Source organism: Homo sapiens, chromosome 18 (assembly GCF_000001405.40).
Source record: "Homo sapiens chromosome 18, GRCh38.p14 Primary Assembly".
Taxonomy (NCBI): Eukaryota; Metazoa; Chordata; class Mammalia; order Primates; family Hominidae; genus Homo; species Homo sapiens.
The window spans coordinates 34,057,962-34,070,806 of NC_000018.10; the positions used below are offsets into that span (position 1 = coordinate 34,057,962).

General features: G+C 34.8%; 1 protein-coding gene across 31 annotated transcripts in view; it reads right to left on the reverse strand.

Annotated features, from left to right (window-relative positions):
- Window positions 1-12,845, reverse strand: part of NOL4 (nucleolar protein 4) — a 373,814-nt gene that overhangs the window by 206,862 nt on the left and 154,107 nt on the right. For 3 of the 31 annotated variants that reach the window (NM_001384472.1, XM_047437904.1, XM_047437903.1), the window contains one exon: window positions 893-957. The exons of the other annotated variants lie outside the window; for them this stretch is intronic. Coding sequence is in view for 2 of the 3 variants with exons in the window: in XM_047437904.1 (XP_047293860.1) it covers window positions 893-957 (65 nt within the window). In the remaining variant the exon portion in view is untranslated. The remainder of the gene's footprint in view (window positions 1-892; window positions 958-12,845) is intronic. 31 annotated transcript variants of the gene reach the window in all.

Sequence of the window (12,845 nt, forward strand, 5' to 3'; positions counted from 1 at the left end):
GCTGTTGATAATTTTCCAGTTATTTTTTCTCATAAATGTCATTTCTCCCATTCTCTTCATTGTATACTAAGTTCTGGCCATAATGATGCTATGCTATATCCAGCTCCTCACTTTAACAGGCCTGCTCACATCTCCAGGTCTATATTGTGCTCTTCCTCTGCTGGCCTGTTGTTCCTTATTTCTTTTTTTTGAGACAAAATCTCACTCTGTCACCCAGGCTGGAGTGCAATGGCACGATCTCGGCTCACTGCAAGCTCCGCCTCCCGGGTTCACGCCATTCTCCTGCCTCAGCCTCCCGAGTAGCTGGGACTACAGGCACCCGCCACCACGCCCGGCTAATTTTTTGTTATTTTTAGTAGAGACGGGGTTTCACCATGTTAGCTAGGATGGTCTCGATCTCCTGACCTCGTGATCTGCCCGCCTTGGCCTCCCAAAATGCTGGGATTACAGGCATGAGCCACTGCGCCCGGCCTCCTTATTTCTAACTCTTTGTTTTTGCCCCTGCTTTGTCCTGCTAGGTGAGGCCTTTATCTTTCTAAAATTTTCTCCTGCTGGCTTTCATGTCTTGAGTAAACTTTACTGGAAAAACCCTCACAGACATTTACCATCTGGGTGTAATGAGACTCCTATGTGCCTACGTCTAGCAAGCACCTGTCATATTCCATCGTAATTATCATTAATATTGCAATCTTCATAACAAATCTGTGAACTTCATGAATGTAAAGCTGTATCTCACAACTAGAAACTGTATCCACAGTTTTTAACCCAGTGCCTGCACTGTGAGAGACCTTAAAAAATATGAATATACATATTGCAATAATGAATGAATTATTAAATGGATCTACCATGTTAGGAAAAAAGGAAACTAAAACAAGTTGTGTATTTAACTTACAATTTCTAGTTTTTTCTCAAATCCTTTTCCACAGCCTCTGCCTTCTGTATGTCTTTTCTGTTGACCTAGAAAGCCATCAAATTGATTATTCTTTCTTCAGCATCTATCTTTCTCATAAATTCTCTGGACTCTGCACAAAGGGGTCATTGTAAAATGCAAATCTTATTCTTTATTGGCTTCCTATCCACTTCTGGTTGAAATTCAAACCCTTTATCATGACAAAAAATGTTAAAAATCACACATATATATAGAGAGATAGATAGATATACATATATATATATATATATATATATATATATATATACACATGCTTAGTTTATATGTGCCAGATACTTGACATAATTTAGTCCTCAGACCAACTCTCTGTGAGAGTACTGTCTTCATTTTATAAAATACCCCCGATTCAAAGTTTTGTCTTATGCAGCCTTCTTTCTCAGCATTTACTGAAAGGATTTATACCTCACTCTCATATTAAATAACTGGAAGTTCTCTGGACACACCACACTCTCTTCTGATGCCATGTCCTGTATATGTCTCATGCTGTTTCTCTTCCTGGCATATCCTGTTCCTCACTGACTGGTTAATTCTGATTTTTTTTCTTAATGTCTAGCTCAGCATCCTTTTGCTCTTGGAAGCCTCACCTGAATGCACCCAGATTGATAGATTATCTTCTTCAGGGTTTCCACAGTACCTTGTGTATATTGTAAACACTGTCGCTTGGGATCACTAGCTTCCAAAAATGGCTTCAAATAATCTGTGAAACCCATAACTTTCTCCTTGTGAAATAACCTCCCTAAATCTGGAGTGGTCTGGTCTGGGACTCCCTTTAACCAGTAGAATATAGAGGAAATGACCCTGTGTAAGTTCTGGAACTAACTCTTGGGAAGGTCTGTCAAGTTCTTTAGCACTTTTTGTACCACTGAGCCACCAAGTAAATGTCTCACTATCTGCTGGAGAAACCATGTGCAGAGACCATGTAGGGAGAGGTCGCATGAAGAGGAAGAGGCTCTGACACCCGGAGAGAAACAGACCCAAATGGTCTAGTATCCCAAATTCATTACCGAGATGAGCCTTCCAGCCTTCCCCCACCAGAGCATCGGTCATTGAGTGAGCCACCTCTGACAGTCCGGGCAAGTCAAGTCCTCGGAGGACTACAGCTCCCACCAACACTGGGAGAAGCAGAAGCATCACCAGCTAAGCTGTGTCAACTCACAGAATCACAAGAGATACTAAAGTGGTTATTGTTTTAAAGGGCTATGCTTTTGGATGGTTATTTTTAATTAGCAATAAGTAATTATAATATCCTGTCCCCCAGTCTCTGAACAGCTTGAGAGTGAATCTACACTATATCCACCCCCATACTCACAGTCCCTGGAACAGCACTTTCTACCAAGTGGTCATTAATGAATGTCTACTGATTGAATTAATAAATTTAATTATTCTCCATTTGAATATGTAAACACAGGATTGTGTTTACTCTTTCAATTTTGAACTAGTTTTTAATGATATTGCTTTATATGGTTGGGAACTTAAATCATTTCTGAATCAACTGGCTTAACTTATTTACATATCCCAACCACATGGCCTAACTTCCTCATAATTACTTTATTTTTCCATTGCATTTATTTCTTATTAAAATACTGTATGTTATTAATGGGTGGTGTTTATTTTCTGTCTTCCCCACACCCTTCTTCCCATTATTGAAATATAAGTTTCAGGAGGACAAAGAAAGGGTTGCTTTGCTTGATCTTGTTTTGTTTTTTATCCTGTTTTGTTCATTGATTTCTCCCAACTACCTAGAACAGTGTCTAGTAACAGTGGATGCTCAATACTTGTTGTTTGAATTAATTCATTCATTTTAGGAGGAAATGGACAAATCTGTGAGACAACACTGTAAAGAAAACCAGGACTTAGAGAAAGTTCACATGTGGTGCCTAAGAAGGACTACATAACCTGAGGCAATAAATTTCATTCCTCTATGTTTTGGCAACTACTGCAGAAGGAAAATCTGGGTGAAAAAGATCATCCATATGAAATTCCCTGACCTCTTAAAAATAAAAGTGCTATGTAAATGCACAAAGACATCATTCCTGCCTTGCTGCTTGATGTAGTGCAAGTCACAAAGGTATTTCTCAGACATTCAGCATTTTTTCTTCAGAAGATAGAACTTCAAAATTACTTAGAGAAATGTCTGACGCTGACACGCCCTAAGAGTGTGAGTTTTATAGAAAAAGAAACCCCAAGGTTTATATAAAACAAAAACAGCCTTATATTATCATGTAGCACTCACTTAAATGTTATAAGATATAAAAATGTAAGAGAGAACATAGTTAAAATCTAGGTTTATATACATGTATTTGGCTTAGTTATCAGTTCATCATAGATATATGAAAGATATTTGCTGAATTAGTGTTGAAGGAATACATTATTCTTAATGATACTCTTCCACATACAGTGGGTAAGAAAAATATAATGAGGTGTTATTGACAATATGCAAATCCTGTAGACCTAATTATATGGGGAAAGAAGATCACTGTTAATCTGTTAATCTATTATAATACTCATTACTGTGATTATAAGTTGAGACAGTTTCAGAGCCCTTCAGAAAAATATCATGTACACAAAATGAGCTTATGGGATGGTGGCCAGGGCTTTAAAATATTACCTAAAAGGTCAACCAATAGTCAAGCTAAACACATTCTTTCAAGGCACATATACAACATAGCTTGAATGACACTACTGTGTTGATTATAAAGTTGGCTCAGGAAGGACGACCTTGTTGTTTTCATTAATTCCACACTGGTGGAGTAATAACTCCTAAATGGTGGAGTAATAACTCCTAAGAACCACGAATAAATGAAAGACAATAAAATATAGTCAGTTTATTATAATATTTACTGTTTATTTTTATATTGGGCAATATTTTTATTCATAATATTATAAACTAATTGAGATAAAGGGATCACGTCTTAAATATCTATTGTATTTCTTTTAATATCCAGAATGATTGAACAGTCAGTAGGCAGTTAACAATATTTATCATAGTTGCTACACTCCTCTAGTCATGTTATCAGGAACTACCTCTTTCTTCAATTACCAAAGGAAATAACTGTGTATTATTCAGAATGACATATACTGAGAGAGACGTTAAGCCTACCAAGATAGGAAAAAATATATAGCAGGAGCACAGATAAAAGTGAGGTAAAGATAAGACTTGGCAAGCTAAGGGAAATGGTCAAAGGAAGCAATTGAAGACTCAAAATAAGAAATGCCCAATGAGAACATGCCGTATTTGGTATTCTGTTCACCGACGTAACAAACCTGCACATTCTGCAAGTGTACCACTGAACTTTAAAAAAAAAGTTTTTTTTTAAAAGATGCCAAATATCAAAGTTTGTGCTGTTAATAATTAACAGAAAGACTCAAAGGAACAAAAGAAGAAAAGGGGCTGTAAAAATTTGGTAGAAGAGACATAATAAGAGATATTAGTTATATACTTCAGATAACCAGAAATGTAACACTGAATAATGCTAGATCTCATTTAGTACTGAATAATTAGATCTCAAATATCTGAGCTTCACCTAAGGGACAAGGAGGGGAAGTTGCCGAACCTCTTCTGGAATTTATAAATTAGCTAAAGAAGTACAGTATGACCCTTTCTTCATAAGTGTATAACATGCAGCAGCAATAATGCCTGCCATTTCCATTCCATTCCCCATTTGAAATTTTCAAAATTTCTAAGAAATAAATTTAATCTGGTTTGAATGCAGAATGTGTTAAAGAAGGGGTTATATGACTTTTAAAAATAGAATAACATATTCAATTTTACTCAAATGTCCAACTTTTTTGTATATCAAAATAAAAATAGGCAGGTAGATGGAAAATATGTCTATAGCTATTGTCATAGAAGAAAGCCACTTGGACTTTTATACTAGCAGATAGAAAGCCATAGTGCATATTCATATAAGAAACTATCTATATCCAGAATAAAATGTCTTGAATATTTGAAGTAAATGAAAATCCCAAACCAAAAACGTTGCTAATATACAGAACTGGTTGGACATTTTCAAATTTGTCAAATATAATGCCATTAATCATTCAATCAACTTTATATCATAGAATTACGGGAGAATTTACTTATGGATGCTATATTGTCTTTTCTATTAGCATTGAACCCTTGCTTCTGAAAAGGTAGAGAAGAGTGATTTACCTTTGATATTTTTTACATCTCACTCATTCCTCAATCACTCATTGCTGGGTGAGGTATGGATGAAAGATGAAAAACTGAACCCAAATGAAGTAAATGGAGAAGAGAAACCACAGCTATCTCTTGACTTGATCCAACAGGAGTGATCAGACTATGGGAAATAAAGCCAAATGGACAGCAGCCCTGAAATCAGCAGCAGCAATGTAGAACCACTGAGCCAAAGGTCTCAACACAAGTACTCCCTTATAGGAATATGTGTTGGGCAAATATTTTGCTTTTCCAAAATAAATTAAGTGGAATTTTCAGTCCTTATCATCCCATTACTTAATATCCACTAATTATCTTATTTTCCCCTTCCATTTGCACTCCATCTTACCCCTAAAATATATGTTTTAGGGACTATAATTAATCAAAATTATTTAATAAAAATTTTACAATCTCTGACAACAGAAATTGCAATGTAGAAGAATAAATATTCAGTATTAAAATGAAGTACGTGAGGTTTTCGCTCTTGCACTTAAAATGTGTTATTGGACACAAGTCAGCACTTCAAATCTGAGCTTTCCTATCTGTTAAGTGAACATAACCAACCCTCTGTTGATCTTAAAGAATTTTTGTTAGGACCAAATAAAATAATGTCTGTACATTCTCTTTATAAATCATGATGTGAAACAAAAATATAAACAAACATTATTGTTTCCAGATATTATGTGTTGCTTTGTTATATGATAATAATTAATAAATATATAAACTATATCAGTAGTATATCACTGAATATTACATTAAAGATAGATTATTTTCTCTCAAGGTGATATTATATTGCTTAAAAGAACACATCCTAGGAGTTCTACAAAAGTGCTTTTATTATGATTACACCACTCTAGAGAAAACAATTAACTCTATTTATGAAGTTGGAAGCTGACATTTATTTTTCCTTGCCACACACTGACTGGTATAATTGAGTGGTTCTTGTGTTTAGAAATAATTAACAATTATGAGACTACAAAGACCATCATATGAAATCAAATATAACCTACAGAATACAATTGGCATATTGTCACTTATGAAACACAAAGCATTCTGACTCGTTTATTGGTGCAAGGTGAGCATTATTGAAAGATAGAATGAGTCCAAGGAAAGTGAAGCAGGGACCACAGGACTAAACAATCTATCCTTAGCCAAGTTTTCTTATTTGCTGAAATTTAATGAAGCAGGTCAAGGAATAAAGAAAAATGAAAGCTACAACAAAGGATTGCCATCAATACCCTATGCAAATAATACTGCAGTTGTACTCGTTGTATTGTCTGAGATTGTATGCAGCCTCAGAGCACATGTCCTTTTCCTCCTCCACATTTACTACAACATTATAAAAACCTTGGGCCCTGTACCCTCCATTCAGAAGTTCGTCTGAAATAGTATCAGAGAAATTGCAGAATCTACATCTAATCATTAAAAAGGGGAACTGTTCTTTAAGGATCATATACTATGGTACAGTTTATCCTGATAGATTAGCATGCATTCCAAGTTATGAAATACCAATTTATGCTCATAGATTATTATTATTATGAAAACTACCCTTTGAAATTCTAAAATGATAAATAAATATGCAGTAGTTAATAGTAGTACTCTCTATGACACATAATTCAGTTGTATTATAGCAATGTAAGTCAATCATTACACAAAGTTCTGTGGTTTGTCTTTATGTATGATTAGTATCCCCAAAATTGATACAGTTGACTTAAGTCTTGCAAATCTTACAAGTATGTTCTATATTTTCTATCTAAAGGAGCTTACTATAATTACTGTAATGCATAAAAATTTCAAAAACCATGAGTTTTATTCCCTATGGTATTTTTTAACACACACACACACACACACACACACACACACACATCATATGTGTCTTGTTTTTATGCCAAAAAAGAAAAATATACAATAGTTACTTGCATAATCTATAGAAACAATCTATAGAAATGTTTTGGATTTATTAAAGCAATTCAATAAAAACAGGCAGTCAACTTGAATAAAAAGGGTTAGATAATGATATCACTACGTCCTTTAGCAGAGAAAGGAGCTTAGTCTTGTTTAGAAACTAGCATAGAAATCCAGCCTAGAAGAGATAGCAAATGCTTGAAAGAGAATACACACATATAATTTAGTTTATTCTCTCAAGGATCCCCAATCATCTCATAAATTCATTTGATTGTGTAGCCCCTTTGACACTTAATATTTATTAATTTTCTCTGGAGGTTAAAATGTTAAAGAAACTAAGAACCAGTAAGAGCTTATTAACCCTCACATAAACTGGTTTCCATTACCCTTTCGGTTAAATGCATCCTCCCTACCTGCCTATTGAAGTTAAAATGATGTCACAGTGCATTCTACAATTTAGAGACTAAAAGAGAGAAAGATGAAGTATTGTAAAAGTAACTACCCAATAATTTCATGTAAAGCAATGCTTCATTTTTTAAGGCTAAAATGCAGAATGTTTTAAATCAATTGTGCTACTAGTAAGGATTCTGGCATGCAAATGAGCCCCACCCCACACAAAACATTTTTAAATGGATTTCTCTGTCATTACATTACAAAATGCACAGAAATTGTAGTGAAGCTTCATTTTATTTTTTTATTATAAATCATGCAAATCTATGTCTACTCACTAGTACATAGTATAATAACTTTTAAAACTTTGAATAATCTATTAACTACATAGTCTCATTACAGGTACATAAAAACTTTTGATAAGAGATTAAATGCTAAGTAATTGATTTCTAAGAATTTTCAAAACACCTGTTTCTTTGGTTTAGTTGAGGACTTCGGCTGAATATTAGAGGAGATTTTTGTCTATTATAAAAAGGAAGTCGAAATTTCAAATCTTTGCCAATAAATGGCATATAGTTATTATACTTTGAGAGGTTTTAAATATCTGTATAGCTTTTCAAAATATAACCCTTACGAATTTGACTTGGGGATTGTTAATCTCAAAAATTATAAGCAGGTTCACAGGATTGATTTGAAGTATATATTCTAACAACAAAAATAAAAATTTAAATTTGTTTTGGGAATTTATATGCAGTGATTCAATGTAATTTCTGTGTAAGTTTTAAAAAATAATAGGTATAAATAATTTAATTTAGAAGGCAAACTTGAAATATCATTTTCTTTTCTGCAAAGTTATATGGTAAAACAGTCATTCTTTATTACAGATGATTCATTCACTTGAGAATTATCAAACAACTCTCAAGAGATGCTATCATTTTATTACATTAAAATAGAAAGTTTCTTATGTCCATTCTTAAATTGTGAGCAGCTACTCTTAATTTTTCTGTGTCCAATTATTTAAGAGTCTTCACAGCTGCTTAAAATATTACTACAATATAGCCTTAAATTTGCTATGAAGAGAAAATATTCTGGAGATCTGTTACAAACAATATTGAACTATTTACATAGAACTTGAATGTTCAAATATGTTTACACTGTACACCCCAACCTTTCAAAGCAGCATGTAGTGGCTAGTAGAAAGCTTGCATGTCAAATCAGTACTAAAGTATTCCAAAACTGTCTATGAAACAAAATATTTTAATTTATTATATTTGAAAAGTTTCTTATTTCCAAAGCTTTTCTTCTAAAAAAAAAAAAAACAACACTGAAGTATAAGTGTATGTTCCTTTCCTAAGATAACATTTAACCTTTGTTCAAGAAAATTGTGTTGGCTTTTTCTATTCTATCTCTAACAATAATTCCAAAACTCTATATATAATTAATGTAAAAGAATAATCAGAAAGAAGTCAGGAATTACTATAAAACAAAGAAGGCTCTTCATCTTTAGACTCGTTGGTAATACAACTCAATAGCTGACTAATAAAGAATCAGCCACTAATGTATTAACACATTTAAAAATACCTTTATACGTCAGGCATTATTCTATGGATAAAGCATACAGAAAATAGAAAATATATTTTTTCATCCTACTTATATTCCAATGGGTGAAAAAAGAAAATAAACAAAATACTAAAGTAAGTTATATAGATAGAAGAAAAGATGTGTTATAGAGAACATAAAATGGAGGTGGTGTACAGGATTTGCGATTTAAAGAAAGCAATCATAGAAGATTTCACTTGGAATATTATATTTGAGCAAACTCTTGAAAAAGGCAATGGGGCAAGAAATGTAGTAGATAAAAGAATTTTAGGCAAAAGTACCAATGATCAAAAAGAACTCTGAAGTCAGTGTATTCCTGGCATGTTTGAGGAGCAGCAGGGAGGCTGTTGTAGCTATGCCATTTACAGGACTTTAAATTTTACACTAAGAGATGAGAAACCCTGAAAGGGCTTTGAGTAAAAAAAGCCATGTGATCTGACTCCAGTCTTAAAAGAATCATCGGGCTTAGAATCTACTGTAGGATAGGAAAAAATACAAGAGTAGAAGCAAGGAGATCAGGTATGAGGCTACTTTAATAAACCAGGCAAATGATGAGATGGTTTGGACTAGGGTAGAGACTCGAAAGTGGAGAAAAGTGTTCAGATTTTAGGTACATTATGAAGGCAGAAGGAACAAACATAAGAGTCTTCTGATGCACAGAATGATATGTATTCAAGAAAAATGGGAGTTATAAATCCAAGTCTTTTGGTCGGAGCATCTGGGAGGATGGAGTTGCCTTTGAGAAGGAAAGGACTGCAGGTGGAGTAGGTTTTATTTTATTTATTTATTTAGTGAAAGAGATAAGCTCAGTTTGGGATGTGTTTATTTTTTTTAATTTTGTGCCTGAATGGTACTGTCAAATATCCTGTTGGGTATATAAGCCTGGTTTGGGGGGTGGGTCTGGTTTGGAGATATAAACATGAGTCATCAGTGCATAGGCAGTAGTTAAAGATGTGTCTAGACAATATCATCAAGAGAGTGATTGTATATAAAACAACAAAAACCATCCAAAGATGAAGCCACAAGGCACTGCAAAGTAAAGAGATGGGAGAAATGAGAAAAAATTAAGAAAGAAAATGAGAAAGAAAAGCCAGTGAGGTGGGAGGAAAATTAGGAGGTGAGCAAAGACCCTCTTAGGCTTCCATACATGAAGTGGGCATTAATGTGCATGAATAATGGAGAAGCAGACCTGCTACAGAGGGAGAGGCTTTGCAGGGCTGGGGAAATCAGCCAAGACTAGGTGACAGTTCACTGTGGCAAAATGGTTAAAAAATGGAAAATAGCCCCAAATATAAAGACAAATATCTTAGTGTGTCAACTAATTCTTCCTCCCTAAATTGTAACATGAAAACAGCAGCAGTGAAGGAGGAACAATGCTAAGAGAATTGCTTATTTCTTTTTTTAAAATTTTTTAATTTTTTAATTTTTTATTTTTTTGAGACAGAGTCTCACTCCGTCGCCAGGCTGGAGTGCAGTGGCGCGAGCTTGGCTCACTGCAACCTCCAACTCCCTGGTTCTAGCAATTCTCCTGCTTCAGCCTCCTGAGTGGCTGGGATTACAGGCTCGTGCCACCACGCCCAGCTAATTTTCGTATGTTTAGTAGAGACAGGGTTTCACCATCTTGGCCAGGATGTTCTCGATCTGCTGACCTCATGTCCACCCACCTCGGCCTCCCAAAGTGCTGGGATTACAGGCATAAGCCACCGCGCCTGGCAGAGAATTGCTTATTTCTGAGCATCCTCACAGTAATTGTATTCCAAAAGCTTTTCCAATTTAAACTAAATAGTGAATAACCATATCTGGAATTGCAATACAACATCCTCTCAGTTCAAGTACTGACTAGATTTAAAAAGCTATGTCTGGGAGATTAGAGGTTTGGCAACTCAAAGATGAACTCAATATTATTAAAACTATGGTGAAAGAAAAGGGATTTATTATCTGGGAAATAAACAAAAACAATAAAATATTATTATTTAATCATTCTTTTATAGCAATACTCAGAATACAATAAAACTCTAAAAGATACATGAAGGAAAAAATTATCCATAATAAAGGTAAAGCAAAATAAAAAGAATAAGACCCATGTATAACTCAGTTATTGAAATTAACATGTCTGGGCTTTAAAATAACCATTATTGATGTGTGAAACAATTGACAACAAAATATGGATATAGTGGATTAAATAATGGGATATTTAGTTGGAAAATTAGAAACTCTAAGAAAACACCAAATGGAAATTATGGAGTTGTAGAAAAAAGTGTCTGAAATTAAAATTCATTGGATCCCTTTTACAAAAGATTGGACATGGGTAAAGAATGAATAAGTGGATTTAAAATCAAGTGAAAAGGAATTATCTAAACTAAAACATGAGAAAAAAGATTGTAAAATCAAGTGGAAAACAGATGGTCAGTGACCTGTGGCATAAACTTCAAAAATACACATACAATTATGTAATTAGAATCTCAAAAGAGGAGAAGAGAGAAAATAAGACGGATAATTTCTAGAAAGAAAACTGAAAAATTAACAAAACTGATGAAAAATATCAACCCATAGATCTAAGAAGCTCAACAAACACTAAGCAGAATTTTTTTTAATGCATTTAGGCATATCATAGGCAAACTGATGAAAACCAAAGAGAAAATAAAATTTTAAAAGAAGAGAGACAAAATGAACATGACTGAGAGACTAAATACACAAACCCACAATCGCAGCAACCAGTCCAGAAAACCAACCCATTATCCACAGTAACCCGCTCAGGAAGCCAGCTTACTTTCCATGTCAGACTTGTATGAAGTCAGACCACTATCTCTAGCAACCATTTCACAAAATCAAACAAAAACATCTGAAATAATTGGTCCCAAATGGCTAAGACTTGATTAATAACAGACAGATCTCCTAATTTTAGTCCTGCCTCCAACTTAGGACCAACCAGAGAAAGTCCTATGCATCCCTCACTAATCATATAAGATACCCCAGTTCTAGGTAGCCCACCTCCAGCTTCGCTATGCCAACAGTCTTCAATTAGAGCATACCTGTAGCCTTGCCTTGTTTTGTTTTGTTTTGTTTTTGAGACGGAGTCTCGCTCAGTCGCCCAGGCTGGAGTGCATTGGCGCAATCCCGGCTCACTGAAAGCTCCGCCTTCCGGGTTCACGCCATTCTCCTGCCTCAGCCTCCCCAGTAGCTGGGACTACAGGTGCCTGCCACTGCGCCCAGCTAATTTTTTGTATTTTTAGTAGAGACGGGGTTTCACCATGGTCTCGATATCCTGACCTCGTGATCCGCCCGCCTCGGCCTCCCAAAGTGCTGGGATTACAGGCGTGAGCCACCGCGCCCGGCCCGCCTTGCCTTTTTTACACTATAAAGTTTCACCACATCTCTACTTGCCTTTCAGTCTCTGACAAATGAAAACGTGATGGTGGCTGACTCCCTTGTTATACCAAGCCCTGAATAAATAGACTTTGCCTCTTCTCATTTGTTGATTTTCATTTATTTCCACATAATATAGAGAGGAACAACCATAAGAATGATGTCTGACTGCACATAAACAACTTAAGCCAGAACATAAAGGAACACAATCTTTAAAGTACTCGGAAAACATGTTCACAGTGTAGAGTTATACAGTCAGTGAAAACATCCTCCTTTAAAAGTGAGTGTAAAATAAAGACACAGCCCATAAACAATGGCTGAGAGAATCTGTCACTAGTAGAAGCTGCACTATAAGACATGATAAGGTAAATTTTTCAGTATAAAGAAAAATTATTTCAGAAAGAAACATAGCTTAAAAGAAAGTTGAAAGAAATAATAAATACATAGGTATATATAAAG